We start from the raw sequence: 22,873 nt of genomic DNA on the forward strand, positions 1-22,873 counted from the left end.
GTGCCTGAAATTCTTTCTTATCTCCCCACCTTCCCGGTGAACCAAACTTTGATTTTCTTTGGGAAATTCTGAGTTTATCGAAGGCACATCTGATCAATTGGCTTAGACAAATGTTCTCTTCAGAAATGTATTGATTCTTACTCTGATTGTTTAAAAACATACCATGTTAAAGTGGCTGTGATGTTTTTTCTTCCACAGATAGAATTAAAAGGAATACATTTTTTAGGAAAAACAAGGCAAACAGGATTGTTTATACCTGGTTCCACCCTTTGGGCCTGTACATCTGTGGTTGTCCATTTCTCAGTTTGGAGCAGTAGGAATATAAAAAGGGACCAAGCTGGGGTTAGTAAACCACAGAAACAATACAGTTAGGTGATGCTCTGCCTCCTCGAGAGCTCATGTTTTAAAAGGCAGTTTCACTGTTTTGTTTGAATTGATAGTTCAATGCAAAGTGAAGAAAGGATAACATAAAGTCAAATGTAAAGATTTTTTATATAGTGCATGTTTTAGCCTATTTGAAGCAGTGTCTACCTCCATTAAAAGTTAAATTCTTATGACAAACTATTGCACACGTATTTTGTATGCAGCTGCTGAATGCATTTCTATGTCCTCACCAAATATAAGTCATGTGGATAAAACAAGGTCACATAAGATGTAAAATGGAATGCTTTTACCATCTTGAAAAGTAAGCACTAGGGAAAATTGTTACCTCAATATTCATTGACAAAACCCCTTTTAACCACCCAGCCCATTATATTATTATGTTATAGGCCAATTCTAAATTGTAACTAAATAAATTATCTTGGATTTTTGGTTGAAATAATAGGAACAACTTCTTAGAATAGGCCTACATAGTATGCGAAAAAGTTGTTTTTAAAGCGCTCATTTTTAACCAATTTATTTAATTATGATAATAAAGTAACTTATCTAATGTACCTTATATGAGAATAATTTTAGTTCACAGGACTCACTGCCATTAGTTTAAAGTATCTACCATGTGCTTAATAATGTGCTTAGAGCTTTGCAGTATAAGACATGAACCTCTGCAGGAATTCTAGACTCTGTGAAGATTTGACACTGAATAACATATAAACATAATAATATCATTCTCATCAAAATTTTAATTGATAGAACATTACTTTACCTCTAGAAGACATCTTTTAGTATTTTTTGGCTGAACCTTGAAAGAAGAATAAGTTATAACTTGGGAAGAGACAGATGACATTACTGAAAAAGAAACATTGGCAGCAAAGAACAGAGGTGGCAGTAAGCATTGTTTGAGAGATTGTAGTTGAACCTAATTAGAATAACAGGATAATGTTGAGGCATCGTGAAATATAATGCCCTAAAGAATACATCTCCATTTGATTTTAAAACTACAGATTACTGAAGATGTTGACACTTGATGGGAAGATATTAGATGTGATAAAGTAAAGAGTAGAACGAAATACTAAATTTTCTCATAAGGGAACTATATAGTCATCTATGCAGGCACAAACATTTATTAAGTGACTATTTACTACCTAAAGGCACCATTAATTTTCCTGAGATCATCCATCAAGTGGTTAGCAAATGTGACATGCAAATTGAAAACTATTAAATGAGATACACAGTGAAAAACATAATAAGAGATGAACACATCAAGTTCAAGGTCTTACAAAGGGCATGAAGTTGAGGGCAAGGTACGATGGTTAACTAGAGTCAGAAAGTTTTAGTTGGAACCCCAGGTTTACCTATCATTTACTATTTGTGAGACCATGGACAAGTTACTTATCCTCTGAGACCCTGTATCCCATCTAAAACTAAGGGCGGTTGTCAGTTTGATGTGAAATAATTAACACACATAGAGCTATGTGTGCTTTGCATATAGTAATCATTCCAGAAATGATAACTCAAGCATAGAAGTCTTTGTGTAGAAATAACACTGAGCTAGAGCTTGAAAGATGGGTAGTGAATGAAACTACAGAGATGAGGACAAGGCTTTCAGAATTAATGCAACATCATGAGCTAGGCAGTAGGAATGAAAGTACAAGATGTAATCAAATAGGAATTCAGCTTGCCTGATACATGAGATAGTACCAGGAAACAAGTTGTAAATATACATTGGAGTCAGTTCATGGATGGTCATGTTGATATAAGGATCTTGGATTTTATTTGGAATGCATTTGAGCATAGGAGTTTTAATCTGACTTTTCTAGAATAATTGGTCTGATGGCTGTGTGCCAGTGATTTGACAAAAGGAGAGAATGCAAGGCAGAAGGCCTCTTCGGAGGCTATTTCTTTGGTCCAGTGGAGATGTCAGAAGAGTAGGAGCTAGTCAGTGACAGTAGGAATGGTGATATGGAAACAGCTATGATAGCAAACATAGTAGCAGAATTCATGGGATTTGGCATTTGATGAGATAAAGGAGTAATGGAGAAAAATAAACCAGACTCTGCCAGAGTTTCAAGTATGAGTGATGCGGAGGTTGTGGTTACATCATTGTGTATAAGAAAGTGAGAAGCGGGACCAAAACTGGAAAGGAAGATGACAGTGAACTCAATTTGTGAAATACTAAAGGACCAGTGACACATTTATAAGTACAAAAATTGGGCTGGGTGCAGTGGCTCACGCCTGTAATCCCAGCACTTTGGGAGGCCGAGGCAGGCAGATCATGAGGTCAGGAGATCCAGACCATCCTGGCTAACACAGTGAAACCCTGTCTCTACTAAAAAATACAACAAAAATTAGCCGGGCGTGGTCGTGGATGCCTGTAGTCTCATCTACTCGGGAGGCTGAGGCAGGAGAATGGCATGAACCCGGGGACAATGCTTGTAGTGAGCCGAGATAGCGCCACTGCACTCCAGCCTGGGTGACAGAGCTAGACTCCGTCTCAAAAAAAAAAAAAAAGTACTAAAATAATACAGACTATAATAATTTTGGAGCAAGCAAGACAAGGACTTGAGGCAAAAATTTTGGAGTAATTAACATAATAGAAAACAGTCAATATTTGAAACCATCAACTGTCTAATGAAAAGGAGAGTAAGAGAGGAGAAGCTCAAGAACCTAAATAAAAACAGCAGAGGGCTCTAATAAGTAAGGGAGGAAGAGACTTCTAGGAAAAATGATCTCCGGAGGCAAATACTGCTGCCAGTTAACCAAGCTGGGGTCTGAGAGAAGGTCTTGGAATTTGACCTGCATATTGTTCTTAGAAGGTTCCATTTTGATAGAGTGGTAGGTCAATGAGCCACCTTTCAGACTGTAAAGAAAAGAAGTATTGATTAATATTCAAGAGAGTAGATAAGCCGCAGTTTGAATAGTTTGGCTGAGAAAGGATTTTTTGAAAAAGACAATTGTTGCTCTGTAATGGACAAATTTGGGTTAATTCTAAGATGCAGAAACCTGTCATCATTAGAAAGTCAGAATGAGTTTAGAGAGAAACGAGAGTGTGAGAGTTATATAAGATACATGTGGGAGCAAGATCAGTCTGGACACAGGAGCGAATTGGTCAAATCCAGATCATAGGGAAGGGGAACAAAAAGCTGTTACAGGTTGATAAAAGGAGAAGAGTAAGATGGAGACATAACATATTCATATAGCAATATGAAACATTTAAAATGATTTTCTTATGTAGTCTATTTTATTTCTTATGATCGTGATTTTCTTCTACTTTGTATGTGCTATAGATTTTGTATAATGGTGGGATTTAGTTGCATTAAAGTTATACTAAATAATATGTCCCGTGGACTTTGCCTAAATTGAGAAGGTGGTGTATCAGGTAAAGCTACAATAAATTAAATTTATGAGGAGAGATGAAAACGTGTGAAACTGCTTGTGAATTTTACTTCCCTGATTATTACATTATCAGCTTTATCAGTAGAGCATCTGGTAATAAATAATATTGATCCTCAACTCAACAAGATAATTCCATTTTCATTCATTATAGTGGCATAACTTACTAGCTTAGTAATTTATTTCTTTTATTACTCTTTTATTTTTTATAAGAACAAAGAACATCACTAAGATTATTAAATGTGGAAATATCTTTATAGATGGCAGGTTTTTATTCCATGATGAACTGAAAATTATAAACTCTCCCCATTTTATTCAAATATATTTTCATATCTGAATTTTACCATAAATTGTTGGTTGAGTTTCTTTATTGCAAGTTATGAGATATTTCATTCAATAATTTTGACTTGATTCTCCACTGTGTGATATGTCTTTATTCTTACAACTGTCTCATGATATAATTCTAATGAAAAGAAAGTATATGTATGCCATATATGAGTGATCAACTGCCTATAAATCTAAGTAGAAAATAATGACTCATTTTTTCTGCTTTCTGTTTCCAACTACAAATTCATACTTCTGCTATTTGGTAACTTCAATTATTTGTTAAGCAATAGAAGGAAAATATTCCTTTAAAGTCAGAATTAGAATAATTTGGAGAAGGAATAATAGAAAGAGACTGACATTTATTAAATACTTGCAATGTTGGATTGCAGTTGGATCGCAATGTTGGCTTGTGCACATTTGATCTTCTCATTGACCTGGTGATGGGGATATTTATGAAATTAAATAAAATAGTAAAACTAATGCAGAAGCACAGGTCAGATAAAGGCTGGTGGTTTTCTCCAACAGGCCTCATTATACTGATCATGTTACCACAGTGCAGAAGCTCCCCTCTTGTTTACAGGTTAGAATCTGCTTTTGACTGTCCCTAATTATCGTATTTTGTAATTATATACTATTGTGTGTTTATTTTTAAATATCTATCTCTTCTACTGAAGTAAACGTTCTATGAAGGCAGGAACCAGTTCTGTTCTTATCACTACTGATGACCCAGCAAAAAATCTAGTACCTTGGCACATAGTAGGCACTTGATAAATATTTATTGGGTAAATGGAATAATTTAAAAATTAATCAGACATTTGGAACAGATTTGTCTCTGAAAAGATGAAGCTGTATTAACCAAATTTGATAAATAGAACCAGAGGAACAGCCTATTATCTCCCTGTAGACAAACTGGTAATTTTTAAGCATAAAATCAGCAAGAGAAAAAGTAAATGCATAGAATTTTTAATAGCATGGGCCAAAATGGGTCTAGAATGCTAAAAATTCATTAAATTTCCCTGTTCTGCATACTTACTTGGATTTCCACTCTTTAAATATTTCTGAGATTTTTTTTTTTTCTATTCTCGGCTGACCAACTCAGCATTTAATAGGTACCCTATTATGGAGCTATATTAATTTAATCATCTTACAGATGTCTTAGACATCTTTCTCTACAGTCATATTCCCTCTCTAATGAAGCCTGTAGACATTTAACTCAAATCTTTCAAAGACTGAGAACTTTGTTGTTTAAAAAAAACTTGGGAAAAAAAAAAACAGGCTCAAAAAACTTAGAAATTTTGTAAAAACCTTCAATTGTGAAGTGGCTAAAATGGCTTCAATCATACATTTGCTTGACTCTCAAGCCCATGGTCCTAACTTGATCAAGCTATAAAAGAGGTAGGCATAGCTTGGTCTTGTTGGAATGTCATTAAAGGAAAAATTTTCAAAATCATGAAGAGAGAATGACTAATACTCCGACAAAAAGGACAAGAGAAATTTTAAGAAACTTACCTATGAAGAGAACGTAGACAAGGCATTAAGATACAGGATTGTTTGCAAAACTAAGAGCTGTTTTATATTACTTTATATCTGTAACTATTACAATGTCATCTTTCCTATTCTCCGTTAAATGTTCTCTTATTTCCCCGAATCTTCTCCACACAGCACTTACCACAGTTTAACTTGTTATTTGAAAATGAAAAACTCTCCTATTAAACTGCAGACTGGGTAAAGGTAGACCATGACTTTCCCTCACCATTTCTGCCCCAATACTTAGCATACCATGGGTGGGGAAGACAGTGTTGGGAGCAGGGGAAGGAGATCTTGGACACACAATCTAGAGAGCTTGCAGGCCTCCATTCTTTATACTAAAACAAAACAAAACAAAACAAAAAACGGGCGTGCTGGATCACGCCTGTAATCTCAGCACTTTTAGAGGCCGAGGCGGGCAGATCACGAGGTCAAGAGATCAACACCATCCTGGCCAAAATGGTGAAACCCTGTCTCTACTAAAAATACAAAAAATTAGCCAGGCGTGGCAGTGCGTGCCTGTAGTCCCAGCTACTTGGGAGGCTGAGGCAGGAGAATTGCTTGAACCTGGGAGGCGGAGGCAGCAGTCAGCCGAGATGGCGCCACTGGACTCCAGCCTGGGCAACAGAGCGAGGCTCCGTCTCAAAAATAAATAAATAAAATAAAAAATAAAATGTGACAAAGCAGTGTGGACTAATGAAGAAAATATAGAAGGGGAAAAAGTAGAACATATAATGTAAGCTAAACCTAGCTGTAAAAGGGAAAGCTGTTTGCTGCCTTGGGGTCATCCCAGCACTTTGCTGCGTTGAACTATGCTAGTTGAAAACCTTATTCTTCAATAGTTGCAATGCCTCCTGTGAGTCTGTACATGATCTGGTCTATGGCAACACAATCATTAATAGCAAATTGATTCTGACTATCAAATCTTAAGAATTAATTACTTAGATCACCTTTTGAGGTATACAATTTTGAATGTGATGTGATAGATTGCTATGAAGTTAGTATTTAGTTCTCTTCAATCTAGTTATAGATTTCCTGTGGCATATTGCCTTTTCAAACCATTATACAGAAATTTCATAAATCATGGAGAATATTTAGTAAGAATGTAAGTTATAACAATTTGGTTTGTTGTGTTTGCTCCTATGTCCTCCTGCCTTTACTCTTTGCTGCCTTTTTCAGGGGCTCCAGCTCCATCCATGTTGCTGGAGAGGACATGATTTCATTCATTTTTATGGCTGTATATTCTACCGTGTCACATATGTTCCACATTTTCTTTATTCAGTCAACCATTGATGGACACTTAGGTTAGTTCCATGGCTTTGCTATTGTGAATACTGCTACGATAAACATATGAGTGAAAGTGTCTTATATAATGATTTCTTTTCCTTTGGGTAGATACCCAGTAGTAGGATTGATAGGTCAAATAATAGTTTTATTTTTTGTTCTTTGAGAAATCTCTGTACTGTCTTCCATAGAGGTTGAATGTTGAACTAACTTGCATTCCTACCAACAGTGTATAAGCATTCCCTTTTCTCTGCATCCACACCATCATCTTACACAAGTCAGAATGGCTGTTATTAACAATTGCTATTATTTATCTGATGATTAGTAATGTTGAGCATTTTTTTGTTTGTTGGCTGCTTACATGTCTTCTTTTGAGAAATACTTGTTCATATCATTTGCACACATTTTAATGGGATTGTTTATTTTTTCTTGTTGAGTTGTTAGAGTTCCTTGTAGATTCTGGATATTAGTTCTTTGTTGTAGGTATATGTTGCAAATACAATTTTAAAAGTGTCTTTTTCTGTTCATTTCTGTTTAGATAACTACCTCCCATATACGCTTAAACTTTTTGCTTGCTATTTCTGCATTTGTCCCACTCAAAATATTGAATCCTTAATTTATTAAATAATACTCAATTTTGAATCCACATATTTCAAAGTCATCTGACTTTGTTTTTTGTTTGTTTGTTTGTTTTTGAGACAGAGTCTCGCTCTGTCATCCAGGCTGGAGTGCAGTGGCACCTTCTTGGCTTACTGCAAGGTCCGCCTCCTGGGTTCACGCCATTCTCCTGCTCAGCCTCCTGAGTAGCTGGGACTACAGGCGCCCCCCAGCATACCCAGCTAGTTCTTTGTATTTTTAGTAGAGATGGGGTTTCACTGTGTTAGCCAGGATGGTCTGGATCTCCTGACCTCGTGATCTGCCTGCCTCAGCCTCCCAAAGTGCTGGGATTACAGGGACATCACGCCATGCCCAGAGTCATCTGACTTTTTATATGTAAAGATATGCAAGTTAGATTTGACCAACTTGCCTTGAGCCTATTATGTACTGGCTGATTTAAAATAATTATAAGTACTCATCAAAGTATGAATTTTTGATTGATTAGCATGTATTTAGTAATATTTCAATCAGCAGAATATCTATCATGCTATGCAAGTAGTTTATTTTAAATATGCTAAATGTTAAAAAATACAGTACAAAACTTGACTAATTTTTTTACAGCACATATGGATGAACTTGACTACTATTCAGACAATATTGATAAAATAAGTAAGGCAAATGATACCATTTTTTAAATGTAACATGGTATGAAAGAAATAGTCAATATTCTGAGTTTGCCTTGTTAAATAACAAGTAGGTTGGCAATTTCAAAGTGCAATTGTTTTCACTTTGACAGAACTTTATTGTTTCATTGTGAAAATATTTTAAAACATAAACATATTCAACTTAAGGATAATAAAATGTAATGGAAATCGGCATAATTTAGAAAATGTTATAAAAGTTAAAATTTGAGCAATTCTACTTTAGTTCATAATTTTATTAGAGCACTTCTTAACACATGGAGCATTTGTTAGCATTTTGCAGTTTTACACATTCCTGATATTATTGCTACTTCAAATCCACTCACAAATTAGCTAGCCTACAACATTACTTTCACTTCACATTTTATGTTTTTATAACTTTGTGCTTTTCAGGCAAGCTAATATGAAAACACCCTCAATATTTTATGCCTGTTAGAAATATAGATGACATAGTACTCTTAAAAAGTGTCTTGTATCATACATAATAAAAACCTTCTTTATGATAAAAAAAATTTTCAAAAATGTTAAATTATTTATTTCACTTAATTCCCATGGAAACACTATGTAGGAAACTATACGTCTCCTAAAGGTTAGGAAAATTCTTTTAATTTTTTTGTAGTGTAGAAAATAGTTTTGTTAGTTTTTAAAGTGAAAACCTGGTTTGAGATAAGAAGCTATCATGCCGATGCAGGCAATTAGAATTGCGTTCTCAAATTTTCTTCTGAGATCCTCACAATAGCAGAAACTACATATGTATCTCCTATGTACTATGAAAGTACTAGTTTTTCCTCTATCAAATACAACTTGCCTAGAAATGTCATTAAATAAACAATCCTATGATTAAACAAGTCAGTATTATTTTATCTCTGATTCTGTGCTAATATATATATGGTTAGAAAAACAAAATGCAATGATTCTTCTCTAGATTATTTTTATGTGAGTTTAGTAGTCTTAATGTCATTGTATGTGAATTTTTTATGTAAACATCATTCATTATTATTTTTATTTTCTTGTGTTTTTGGATTATATTTTCCCAAGTTTTCATATTATGATTTCATCAGGTAATCCCAGAAAAAGAAAATATTTTGGCTTCCTACAGACACAGAGCACCTCATTACTCAGCATACAAAATAGTGTTCTACAATGTGTTTCCACAGAAGAAGCTTCTCATGTTAATTTTTTTTGGGGGGAGGAGGTTGAGATCTCACTCTGTCACCTAGGCTGGAGTGCAGTGGCGTGATCTCGGCTCACTGCAACCTCCGCCTCCAGGGCTCAAGCAATCCTCCCACCTCAGCCTCCCATGTAGCTGGGACTACAAGTGCATGCCACCACACCCGGCTTTTTTGTCTTTTGGGTAGAAGTGGGGTTTCACCTTGTTGCCTGGGTTGGTCTTGAACTCCTGAGCTCCAGTGATCTGCCTGCCTCGGCCTCTCAAAGTGCTGGAATTACAAGTGTGACTCACCACACCCGGCAGATTCTCATGTTAATTCTTAGTTATCATTAGCCACACTCAGTGTACTCCTTATAGCAACTTTGATAGCTCCACAGCAAAACAGTGTAAAAAGAATTATGTAAAATACATTTATAGATGAAACCATGCATGTAGTTCCGCAGGCCATTATTGAGTTCACTATTAATCATTTGAGTGTTTTCATCTATATTTTGGTAAAATTCCTAATTGTATATGCGTATCTTGAGCAGCCTTTAATTGTCATTGAAAGAATAATTGAAGAGAAAGAATTATACTATTGAAAGAATAGTAGAAAAATTATCTTCAAAAGGCTTCATATATCCACTATGTGCAGAGAAACCATTTTCATGAAGACTTTGTGTTCATGATAAGAAAATTCTTCATTTATATTTTTTTTTTGCAACTTATTTCTTTCTTGTACCTAATTTCCCAAGAAGTTATTTAGGTAACATACATGTTATACATACATATACTCACACACACACAAATGTTGTACATGTGTTTTTGTTAAATCGTGTGATAACTTAAGCAGAAAACTATATAATGCCTTTCTCAAAAGAAAAATGTAGAAGATAGAATCAAACTTTTGTAATATTAGTTGAGAAGTAAAACTGAATATAATAACATTATAAATAAATTGGAGAAAAAGAAATATTAAAATAAGCACAGAGATTAAAATGGTAAGGACAGACAGAAACTCCAACTGGTTTCTCTTCAAAAGTCCAAGGAATCTAGTGAGTACTATTGCAACACAAGAAGCACATGCAGAAAAGTGGCGTTTTAAAAAAGTACTTCTACATACTCAACAAAGATTTCTGAGTGCTTGCTCTGCATCAGGCATTATGGATGAAAGGGGACAGTCTCAACCTTCAAAATGTTTGCAGTGCAGAGAATTGAAGCTTTACACAAACAGAATTTTAAACATGAGATAAATAGTAAAATATGTGTGCACAAAAAACAAAGAGAGAGGGCTACCTTGATCTGCCTTGGAGAATCAAATAATCTTCAGGAATTAGGATGTGTTTTGCAGGTAGAGAACTTGAGGGCTTTTTTAGACATAAGAAGCTGCATGTGCAGAGTCCCAGGAAAATGATAGAGTAGTGTGTTTTTGGAAAAATTAAAATTTGCAGTTGTTAGAATATAAAGTGGAAGTCAAATCTTGAAGAAGAGACTGTCCCGATGGCGATAGAATATGAGGGAAATTTTCTAGCAAGGTAGTAGCATGATTAGATTTCCATGATAGAAAAATCACTAACATGGAATGGAGGGTGGTTTGAAAGAAAGGAGCCCACTGAGAATGCACTAGCAGCAGACTCTATAGGGGATAATGAAGGCAGGCCTAGCAGCAGATAGTGATGGGAAGTTATTCCAAGAGGTGGCTCTAGTGCTCATGCAGTTCATTCCCCTAAAACTTCTATGGGAAAAAAATGCAGGCCCCCTCAAATGTAAAATAAGACTCATGTAGCCTCTAACATAAGACTGAAGACATCTGGGGCATAGTCACAATGTTATTTATTCTCATAATTGGTAAAAGTGTCATTTGCATTTTAGCAATTATGTTATAGATTGATGATTAATCAGCTAGAATGACAGGTGAAAAATTATGTAGTTCATATTTTACTAGTGATCAGCATTATTTAAATTTTAGGAAAAAGATGTTATACAATGTGGAGAATAACTCAGTGCAGGGGTGGAGAATAATGAGAACTACTGTCTGCTTATTGAATAATACTGTTAAACAAGTGATACGAAAGATGATTTTTGTAATTTTTTAAAACTAAAATAATTAGCAAGCTGGAGAGTTAGCTCAGTGTCTAATTCATAGTAAGTGTCTAAAATTTTTGTTATTAATGAGAAATAAAACAACAAAACTTCTAAGTGTTTTTCTTTCTTGGGTTGATTTAAAAATATATATATGAAAACATAATGATAGTGACATATTCTCTCCCCCTGAAATCTGTGGGCCATGTGCCTAAGCCCATTTTTTTTCCCCGAGTCTACACCATTTGGTTGCATCTATTGAGTGTATCTTTGTATTTGAATATGTGTCCTTGTGAATATATGCATGAAAATTTTAACACTTAGTCAAAAGGTGCACACATAGATATTTTTGTCTTGCCTTAAATGCTTAAAGACCAAATGGAAAATGAGGCGTTTCTCTCCTATAAAAACACCAATTGAATTTACACTCGGGAATGTATTTTAGAATGACATCACAAAATGTAAAATAAAATTTAAAAATGAGTACTTTTGAGGAACAAGAAATCCCAAGACAGAAACTGATGAGAATCAATTAGTATTGACACAATCCTAAGGCAAAACTTCTAGCTGTATGCCCAGAAGTATCACTCTAGGGCTAATATTCATTAAGCTGCTGAAGATATTTATTAAATTTGCAAAGTTCTGGAAACTGCAATTATAAAACAAATAATGCTGTAGGCTAAAATATGTTGGATCATTTTATGTAGAAATATATGAAAGATTTTAATGACATGATTTACTGCTAAAGTTGGAAGTAGCATTCCAAAAATAGAAAGTACTTACTTTACAATTATATGTAATAGGCAAGATAATCCTTAACATCAAAGAAAAGGAATATTGTCTTCCTCCTTTTCAAATGATGGGCCAATCTTACCTATGAGGAGAATGTGTTGGCTACAGTGGACAACTTAAGATTCAGAAGCTAGTCATTCTGCCTCCCCTTCCCTTACCCCATTAAGACTATGCTCTATTCTGTGGCAGCTGCTTTTGCCATTTACGTTAAAAGCAGATGGAGAAAACGCGAAGAAGTGTCAGTTTTATTGCCATGTATAATCAGCATCTGGGCTGTATGTTACAGACACAATCAATCCAAAGACATATTTTACTGGGTATTATAAAAACTTTTTGTGTTTCTGAGGCAGTCCCCAAATTACAGATAGTGCTATATTTTAATCCTGTTGATCACAGAGATTGCAGCCAGTTATGTTGTTTCAGCTTCAATGTGAATGATGTATGTGTGTATGTGTTTATTATACAGTTACGGAGTTATCTGCAAAACTGTACTGCTAATTTGTTTAAAAACATGATTTGGGACCATATATATTTATTTCACACTAGAAATCAAATCATGTGTGAGATTTATATATACACATATAATTTTATAGTGTATGTGTGGGGGTGTGTGGGTGACGTTGCAATAGTCCCCCCTCTTCCACAGTTTTGCTCTACATGGTTTCCGTTACCCATGGTCAACCTCAGTCTGAAAATATTAATGTATTTTGAGAGAGACCACATTCACATAACATTTATTATAGTATATTGTAATAATTGTTGTATTTTATTATTATTGTTAATCTCTTTAAACTTGATCACAGGCATATAGGAAAAAAAAGTGTATATAGGGTTCAGTACAATCTGTGGTTTCAGACATTCAGGGGGTCTTGGAATGCATCCCCTGTGGGTAAGGGGAGTCTACCATATATGCTGTAGACTTTTTATTATTTAATATATTGTGCTATATATTCTATTTTTGATTGCATATACATATTTTTATTACTTCACTATTTTTGTATAAGAAATAAAATACCATATTTTTTTCTACATCTCATGTAATTTTTAGAAAACATTTATGGTAAGTTCTATTCTCCCCATTTTTCAGGAAGAGAAACTGAGACACAGCGAAAGAAAATAGCTTTTGTAAGGTCCAGAGAGCTAATCAGCTGCAGATCCAGAATTTAGTCCATGTCTATATAAGTGCAAAGCTCATACTTTTAATTGCTAAGTGACACACCTTGAAAAATTCTATGTATGTCTATAAAATGTAGAAATATCTCTTGAGGAGGGCTATTGAAGATTTGGCATGTGGATGTTATTTTATATAGTTTGTCAAAATAACACGATTTTAAAACATTGAAAATAATGTCTACGAATTGAACGCTAGAGAGCTGAAAATGTCATTTAAAGTGCTAATACTGTTTAATATCTTGTAAATGTCTTTAGAACTAGTTTTTTAATTGCCCAGTCATACACACTGCATGTTGTGTAGTCTACTTATGTAAGATCTGCTCACCAAAACCATTAGTTTATTTTATGTGTTACAGAGCCCATCAGTCCACAAGTGGCAGAATTAGACTTCATTGAGCTAAAAGATAGCTGCACATAATTAACATATTCTAAGGGTCTTGTGTTTTAAAGCAGAGGGATATTTCACCATTTTTTATTTTCTATAATTTTTGAAATAGACACCAGAACGTGTTATATATTGTTGGTAGTTCATTCTTTAAGAGCTTTAAAGTCGTGAAGACATGTATAATGAGGTAGCAGTAATTAGAGAGCAAGAGAAAAAAATTGTAGAAGTGGAGACAGAATGGGAAGAAGTTTTTTATTGGATAAACATACTTTTGAGTTATTTTTATTAGTGCAGTTAGAAAACTGTCTTCATCTTCTCATATACTGAGCATGTAACTAAAATTTCCTTCTACATTTGAAAGAGTAGTAACAGCCATTGCTTTGGTTTCATGTGTGTGTATATGTAAACACACAAACACATACAGTGATAAAATGTTATGCAATCATTTACATAAGTTATGTGGAGAAAAAGGTGTTGGCTCCTTTTACATGGAAAAGTCTTTCTTGTAGTATGTGATTTACAGTACTTTCTTCCCCTAATCACTTTCTAAATCTATTTTTACTTTGAAACTCAAGATATTGAATTTTCTCCGAAGGACTGACATTTGAAAATCTCTTAATTATGGTGGATTTTATCCATGGCATGCAAATATATCTTAGCGATTATACTATCTATTTTTGGAATCCCAGAATGTTTTTAATTAGGTTCTTTATGGAACAATGGATTCAAATTTGCACTCTATAAAATTCAGCAGCTTCTATGCTATTAAAGCACAGATTACAGGACAGCAATGCTAGAAAATGTAAATTTTATTTGCCCTTTCTTTTTACCTCAACCTGAAAACTTTATTATTTCACTTCTTTATTTTTTATAATCTGATTTAAATATGTTTTCCTCTTTTTGTAGGACAAAGGACATCATTTGAGATGTGTGTTGGGTTTAGTTTATCAAATATATTCTAAAATTCTTACAATGAAAAGGAAAACCCCTTTATTCTAAAGACCCAAAAGTTTGCAATAAGTACACATTAGTTTATTGTTTCTCCACTAAATAAGAGAGAACAGACATTTTATAATATATTAAAATTTATTGTTTGACATCTGTCCATGGTAGAATATTTTCCTGCTTGAGAATCTGTCCCTCTGAATGAAGGATGCAATTACGTTTTGCCTTAATGAACTGCTGAGACAGTGCAATAAAAACCAGTTCGCTGCTGAGTCAGTGTGAATAACAACATAAACTCTGTTTCAAATACTTTTTTTGGAACAAGATTGAAAATAGATAAATGAATAAAAGTAAACAAGTCCATGGTACATGTCATTGTACAGCTTTCTGTGGTACATGTAAATGCAATAGTTTGCAATGTGAAGATCAGGTCCTTGGTACATTGCAATAACAGATGATTCATGCAGCATGACTCAAGTGTGTCTGAAATATTGTTTTTGCATATAAAAATATAATGCCATTTTATCATGACTCTTCTTTGTTTTATAACTTTCTGAGTATGCAGCATTTTCAAAAAACAAGGCCTTATTTATTGTATAATTTGGGTTTTTTTGGTGACAATCATTGAAATTAGTTGTAGATTAATTACAGAAATTATCATAACATATATTTGAGTGTCATTAGAAAAATTAGTGATCATTACGAGTATTCTAGTTTGAGACTTTAAAATAATAAATGAATTTTAAATTTTCCAGGGAAAATCTTCAGTTATATTAAATTATAGAATTAGTTTGGTCACATTTGTGAGTTAAGGTTATTGACATTTCAGAAGTCTCTATGCTGAATATAGCATTTAAAAATACTTACATTGGAGAAATTCATTTTGAAATCTAACTGCAAAATAAGATTATTTATCAATAAAACTTTCACAAATGTATGAACATCTCTGTTTTTTGATTATCATTGAATTCCAGTTATACAGCTTAATATTTTGTACAGAGTAGACATTAAATATTTATAGGGTGAATGAATGAATTAATGATTATTGGTTTCTTTAGATTATTTTCAAGAACCTGAAATAATATCTATGAAAAGTAGTATATGAACTAGCTTTGCATTACTATTAAAAGAAATCTACTAGTCACTGAGAGCTATTAATTTTTTCTCATCATAGCACTACGTTATTGTGAGCAAATCTTTAATACATTGAAATAATACTTAATTGACCAAGACATGAAGAATCTTCCAGCGAATCAATATTATTTCATCTATAGCTCGTATTCTCTGTATTTTTATTGATTACATTTTAAGCTTAAAATTTTACTATAAGAATGAGTAAAGGCCAAAAAGAATTACTCTTAACTGTCAATCAAAACATTCTAATCAATAAAGTAACAGGCAAATGATTTACATGTCCTTCACTCTATTTAGAGCTTTTGAAAAAAAACTCCCTTTCTTATGACCTAGATAAATAATACAGAAGACAAATTCATATTTCCATCATACAGTTTATTTACTGTCTTCTGGAGTAAATCCACCTATTAGGAGCCAAAAACCCAGTTAGCAGGGATATGTGAAAACGAATAGAATATAGTGGAATAAGAACAGAGGAGTTAAGAGGATGTCCTTGGGTATGTAGGAAAAGGCACAACTTATTATACCTAAGAAAATAAGGAAAGGATTTAAAAGGAGGCCATGCTTTCACTGTCTTAAAATAACTAAGCATTGTTAATATCAATACTAGTATAAAAGTATCACTAATATATACATGTCCAATAATAAGAAAGAATTAAGGAAATAGGGTATTTTTCAACAGTGGAATATTATGAAGGCATTAAAAGTAATGTCTTACAAAATGTTAAATGATATAGCAATACATGTATGATATGTTATTGGATGTAAAGACAATACACCCAATTCTATTTGTAGTAATACCTCAATTACATAAAATATGCTCAAAATTCTATATGCAGTAATACCTCAATTATATAAAATAAATATGCATAAATAAATATGCAAGCAAAAAAACACTAAAGTAAAACTCCCTGATCTGAGTAGGGCATTATGGATTTAGTTCTTTTAATCATATTTTTACTTTTTCCAAGTACAGTGAGCACCAAGGAGATAGAGTGTCTCATCAAAGGGAAAAAAGATTGTTAGTAATATCAAATGTTACAGTGAGTTCAAGAGCAACGAAAACTGAGGAAACCCATTGAATGGTGAAATAAAGAGGTCAGAGAATGAACCCTGATACTGTTGAAGAAAAACCGTAGCACCATGAGAAGGGCTTTGAAATCAGAAAAGACCAAAATTTTGGCAATTTCATTTAATGTCCTAGGGATAATTTGTTTTGATTTTATTTCCATTAAATGTTACGCGTGTGTGTGTGCATGTGTGTGTGTGTGTATGCGTTAAAGTATTACCAACGTTCAATAAAAATGAATTAATGTATATGACACATATATGGTCAGTATGTTGTCATGATATTTATTCATATTTAAATATATACACATATGTATACATACATATATATATAATATATATGCATATATTTTTTCAAATCCGGGCGGGAAAGTGGAGCTCATGCCAGTTGAGCTTTATTTTCCTATTGAAAGTGAACTCTATTTTTCTGTTGAAAAACAGAGGGATTTAATGTAGAGAATAGACTGAACAGTTGAAGGAAGGTAACAGGGAAAAAACTGCTACCAACCCAGGGCTATAAGGACAGAAGAAGCTGGTATTTTATAAAATTAGGAGGTGGCACCAACAGAAAGTAAAATTAGGAAGGAGATGAGACCACTGCTGTGGACATCCCCTGAGACAGAGAAGGGAAGAAATATCCTGGCTTCTTCTCCCCGCCAACCTTTCACCACCCTCCCAGTGTCTGTCACTGGCAAATCTCACAGTAGCCTGTTGGCAAATGAGCCTGGGATATATGGTTCACTGGAGTCAGCTCTTTGGGAGACAGAGCAGAACAGAGGAGAAGGGGATGGGAAATGATCATAACGATGTTTGTTTGGAGTGAAAGGAGGCTGAGAAGCAACATTTTTTTGATAGACTAAAATATGTACCAAAAGACTTCATGCAATCTACTTATTTGTGCGTTTCATAACTAGGTGGGTAAAATCTTGTCTTTCTCTGTTAGCAGGACCATAGAATAGATGATATCAGTTATTTTCAACTCTGTGATTTTAGTATACCATAAAAATACTTCAGTTGTGCTCAAATGCACTTTGCTGCAGTGGTTTTTATGTGAAATATTCACAAAATGAATCCACAGAGTCTAGACTGTCTTACTGAAAATATCTGTAGCATATATGGATTTATAATTTAACATTTTGCCTCATAAGAAGCTTCAAAATTAATTTTGTGAGTATAAAATTATTTTTTAACCGATCATATGCTTTCCATAGAGGAAATAAAAGGCTTATAAAATTTAATATTCAACAGTAATCTTCTTTGTGGAAGAGTTATGATTGTATCTAAAATATGTAATAGATCTATTCAGTATTTCTACCTATTTCTCTAACTTATATTAAGTTAATTAAAATGTACTCCTAAGTTAGTTTCTTAAAGGTATTATTTCTTTTGTACAAAGTCCAGACTTAAATATTGATGGATATGTAGTACTTAAAAATCTGAATATTTTAATTATGTTTATAATTGCTTAGTTTTTAATCCCAATTTGCTTCACATTTAGGGACAGAAAAATTAAATTTAGTACTTATTTTTCAGGAAAAAAATATATCACTCATGAAGAACATCAACTTTACTTCTTGACATGAATCCTGAGCTTGAATTAAACATGTCCGAAGGTTCACATTTCCATTTAAAAGTTGAATTTTTTTTCATTGCAGACGTTTGGAACAGAACACAATCAAAGTCATCCCTCCTGGAGCTTTCTCACCATATAAAAAGCTTAGACGAATGTGAGTGAACAATATTCTACAATATATGTAATTTTAAAAATTATAGAGGTCATGAGACCATGCAAAGAAACTTAAGTATGAGTATATAAGTGTTTGACAGCTTAAATATTAAGTGATGTGACTGTCTGATTACTAGCTCTGTAATAATATTTTAATCTTAATATCTAAACTATGTAATTTTTAAAGGTCTGTAATTTAGCATATTGATTCATACAAATGTGAATGTTTATGGTCAATATATTTTGCATATGAACATATGTTCAGGTGTTCTATTGTCAAAAATAAGACATAGCATCTTATATGGGAAAGTAGACAATGGTTATTTTAAAAAGTATGATTTCTTTTTTAAATTTCTGATCCTTCAGATGTTCAATGTTGCACGTTTTGGACATGTCTTGATAAGTACAAAACCAACATTTAAAAGCCATACATAGCTTTTTCCGCAGTAAATCTCACTGACATTTGATTGAATGTAACCTAACCCTATTTCTAATCTTAGTGACCTGAGCAATAATCAGATCTCTGAACTTGCACCAGATGCTTTCCAAGGACTACGCTCTCTGAATTCACTGTAAGTATTCACTGTGTCACTGAAGGAAAAGAGAAGCCACAACAAAGAGTGGCTACCTTTTTTAAATTGGGGTTTAAAAAATGCTCTCAGGTTTTTATTATGAATAATGAATTATTAATAATGTTAATTATTATTAACCACTTCTGGGTCCCATTATTTTTATGGAGGACTGCTACCCATCACTAAAATTAGCCAATTTTTAGGGGTGTATATTTTATAGTTTGATCATTTTGCTGTTAGGAGAGCAAGAGTTAGATCCCCTTTTTGACCATTTTTTTATTTCTTTTTTTTTTTTTTTTTTTGAGACGGAGTCTTGCTCTGTCGCCCAGACTGGAGTGCAGTGGCGCCATCTCGGCTCACTGCAAGCTTCACCTCCTGGGTTCATGCCATTCTCCTGCCTCAGCCTCCCGGTAGCTGGGACTACAGGCGCCTGCCACCACATCCAGCTAATTTTTTTTTTTTTTTTATTTTTGGTAGAGATGGAATTTCACAATGTTAGCCAGGATGGTCTGGATCTCCTGACCTCGTGATCCGCCCGTCTCGGCCTCCCAAAGTGCTGGGATTACAGGCATGAGCCACCGTGCCCGGCCCATTTTTTTATTTCTAAAAGAAAAAGAAAATATTTATTTTGGAAAGCATGTAGCTAGTATCTGGAGACAATATCAGTCTCCTTTGAAATGCTAGGCAAAATCTTGCTGAGAACACTTGAAGATGACCACTGAGAGGAAACCTCCACTCTTTTTCATCACCTTAATACTTTCCTAAAAGAATAAGCTTTTAATCTCTCAAAGAACAAAGATTTTAAAATATGACAGCTTTTTAATGTCAAGAGAACCTTCGAAAGATAGCTATGTAAATTAAAGAAGTTTAAAAATAAATGTATAGCAGCTGTTATTAATATTACTTCACACTTGTAAAAAAATCTTCAGAAGTCCACCAAGTAACCTTTAGATCAGATTTAAATATTCGAAAGTGGAAGTCGGCACATTTTTATTTTTTAAGAGCCGAAACTCAGAGAAGGGTTCTTATTGATGTCAATTCCTGCCAAAATATTTCAGATATCAGAGGTCAGGGGTAGCCAATGAGAATGCCAAGATACACATGTGCGAGACCCAGATAAACCCCTGGAGTTTGTGGAACAACTTGCTGGCACTCTTTCCAAGGGGAGAACTAGATCGGAGTGCTCATCTGGGCACATGAGTGTTCCAGTTGCTATGTTAGTCTGTTTAAAAACAAAAACAAAAACAAAAAACACTACAGTTTTCTTTAAAAAGGAAAATGGAAAACTGTTACTTAAATGGCAGTATCTGCTTGGGTTCACTTTTGCTTCTTTTTGACTTGGAGGGTTTTGACTAGAAGAAGCACGAGATTAAAGGAACAATTGTTGGCAGAAAATATAGCGTGTAGTCATGTATTGCTCTCAGGCTGTACTGTCAGGTTCTAAAGTAACTAGGTTCAGTGTAAAACTCAGATCACCCAGTCAGATTGTCCATAAAGTACTGTTAGCACCATTCTGAACAGTAATACTATCCAGAGTAAACATTGACAAACTCCCTGTCATACAGAAGGACAAAAGGCAAATCAGCATGTCAGTTCCTGATTCTCCACAATTTTGGTCCTCAAAGATAACCATTAAATGTCAAGAAGAAGAGAAATCAGTGGGAAATTCTTATTTATATCGGCTTGCTTGCAGAGTTTGATATTAAGCTCTTCCCTTAATAATGTTAATTGACACTTCTGTGGTTGTGAGAATTAAAAGAAAATATATAAAGATATTTACAAGTAAATTATAAATAGAACAGTTTATTATAATTTGTTACTTCTTTCAATAAATTACATTATGTTTGTTGATAAACAGGGTTCCTGTAATTAATGATTATAAATTATGTAATCTAATAAACAATAAAATAGTGTGTTGTCACTCCTTTTGCTATTTGCTAACACATGTAAAATAACATGCTTGCTACATTGAAATCTAAGGCCTCATGATGAGAGCACTCACGCACACAGTTGTTTTAGAAGGCCGTAGAAAAGCTTTATCTTTACTTGCAGATAAAGTAAACTGCAGTTAAGTCAGGGAGTTAAGTCACTGGGGTTTTTCCAGTTCAAAATGTAGCAACGTGTGGAAGATCACAAACTGTTTGCCAAAAGTGGAATACCTGCATAATACTGTAAAACAGATAAACTGGAAAAGAATCAAATAACTGAGTTATTTTAGAGAAAGCCCACGTGTTATAACACGTATCATTTTCCTGGTCACGTTCACAGTTTGAGTTCACTTTCCAAAGATTAAGTTATTTTCCCCTCCATAAAATATATAACTACACACATTTGCAATAGCTCTTTTCTTCATTGAACCACAGTTAATATGTTCAAAAGAAATGTATTGGGCCCGATTATGTACTAGGCCCTAGTAGAGGGTCTAGAGATGCAGAGTGACCAGAACACAAAAATCCCTGCCTCATGGAGGAGACCAGTGATAAACTGGCAAATGTATAGTATACATAAAATTTACCTATATTTATAGTATTACATCTATCTGTAGATGAAAATGCTATGAATAAAAATTACAGAACAAGGGATAAGGATAGCTGTGGTTGGCGGGGGGAAGCTAAAACCTTAAATAAGATGATCAACAAAGACCTGAAGATTTGAGCTATGGGAGTGAACTGTGTAGATAATGCAGATATATAGAGGAAAGGCATTCAAGACAGAGGGAACGGTTAAGTACTAAGGACGTTTAGCAGGAGTATGCTAGATGTTTCAAGAATTAGCAAAAAATATCACTGCTACTGGAGAGTAGTGGGTGCTTGAAACTGAAATGATGAAGAGAATGCAATTGTAACTACAGGTCTGAGACACTATAATTAGGGTGGGAGAGGAAAGCCAGTGAAAGCTAGATTTGCAGAGAAGAATTGTGCTGGAGATCATGATAGTGACCAGGAGTTAAAATCTTCCAGAAGGGAGCAGAGTACTTGGGAGTATGTAGTTTACTACAAAAACCATGCAAGTACAAGGCAACACCTCTTTTTATTTAAATAAAAATTTTGCTTACAAGTTTTGCTTACACCTGATATTTTAATACCATGTCTTTCTAGAACTGTACTCAAGAATATAGCCAGATTAATATAATCACTACAATTGCTAAATAAATAAAACTATTTAAAGGTGATATGATGCCAAGCACCTCTACTGCATTCTACTTAAAAAATAAAAATTTCAGCCAGGCGTGGTGGCTCATGCCTGTAATTCCAGCACTTTGGGAGGCCTAGGCAGGCGGATCACTTGAAGTCAGGAGTTCAAGACTGGCCTGGCCAACATGGTGAAACCCCGTCTCTACTGAAAATACAAAAATTAGTCAGTCAGACATGGTGGTGCATGCCTGTAATCCCAGCTACTCGGAGAGTTGAGGCACGAGAATCTCTTGAACCCGGGAGACGAATGTTGTAGTGAGCCAAGATTGCACCACTGCACTCCAGCCTGGGCAACCAAGTGAGTCTCTGTCTCAAAAAAATAAATAAATAAAAATTTCAAGTTATTAGATCACCAAATTTCATCTCTTAGAGATAAGTGGACTTGATTTACCTAATGTTTTTTAAGGCCTCTCCTACTAAGAAATCCTATACTTTTTTTTATTAA

The 22,873-nt window shown here is 34.1% G+C and overlaps 1 protein-coding gene across 7 annotated transcripts in view; it reads left to right on the forward strand.

The window, feature by feature from the left end:
* SLIT2 (slit guidance ligand 2) overlaps window positions 1-22,873 on the forward strand; it is a 368,657-nt gene that overhangs the window by 239,999 nt on the left and 105,785 nt on the right. For all 7 annotated transcript variants that reach the window (XM_005248211.3, XM_006713986.3, NM_001289135.3 and 4 more), the window contains 2 exons: window positions 18,592-18,663; window positions 19,163-19,234. In XM_005248211.3, coding sequence (XP_005248268.1) covers window positions 18,592-18,663; window positions 19,163-19,234 — 144 coding nt within the window. The remainder of the gene's footprint in view (window positions 1-18,591; window positions 18,664-19,162; window positions 19,235-22,873) is intronic.

Source organism: Homo sapiens, chromosome 4 (assembly GCF_000001405.40).
Source record: "Homo sapiens chromosome 4, GRCh38.p14 Primary Assembly".
Lineage (NCBI taxonomy): Eukaryota > Metazoa > Chordata > Mammalia > Primates > Hominidae > Homo > Homo sapiens.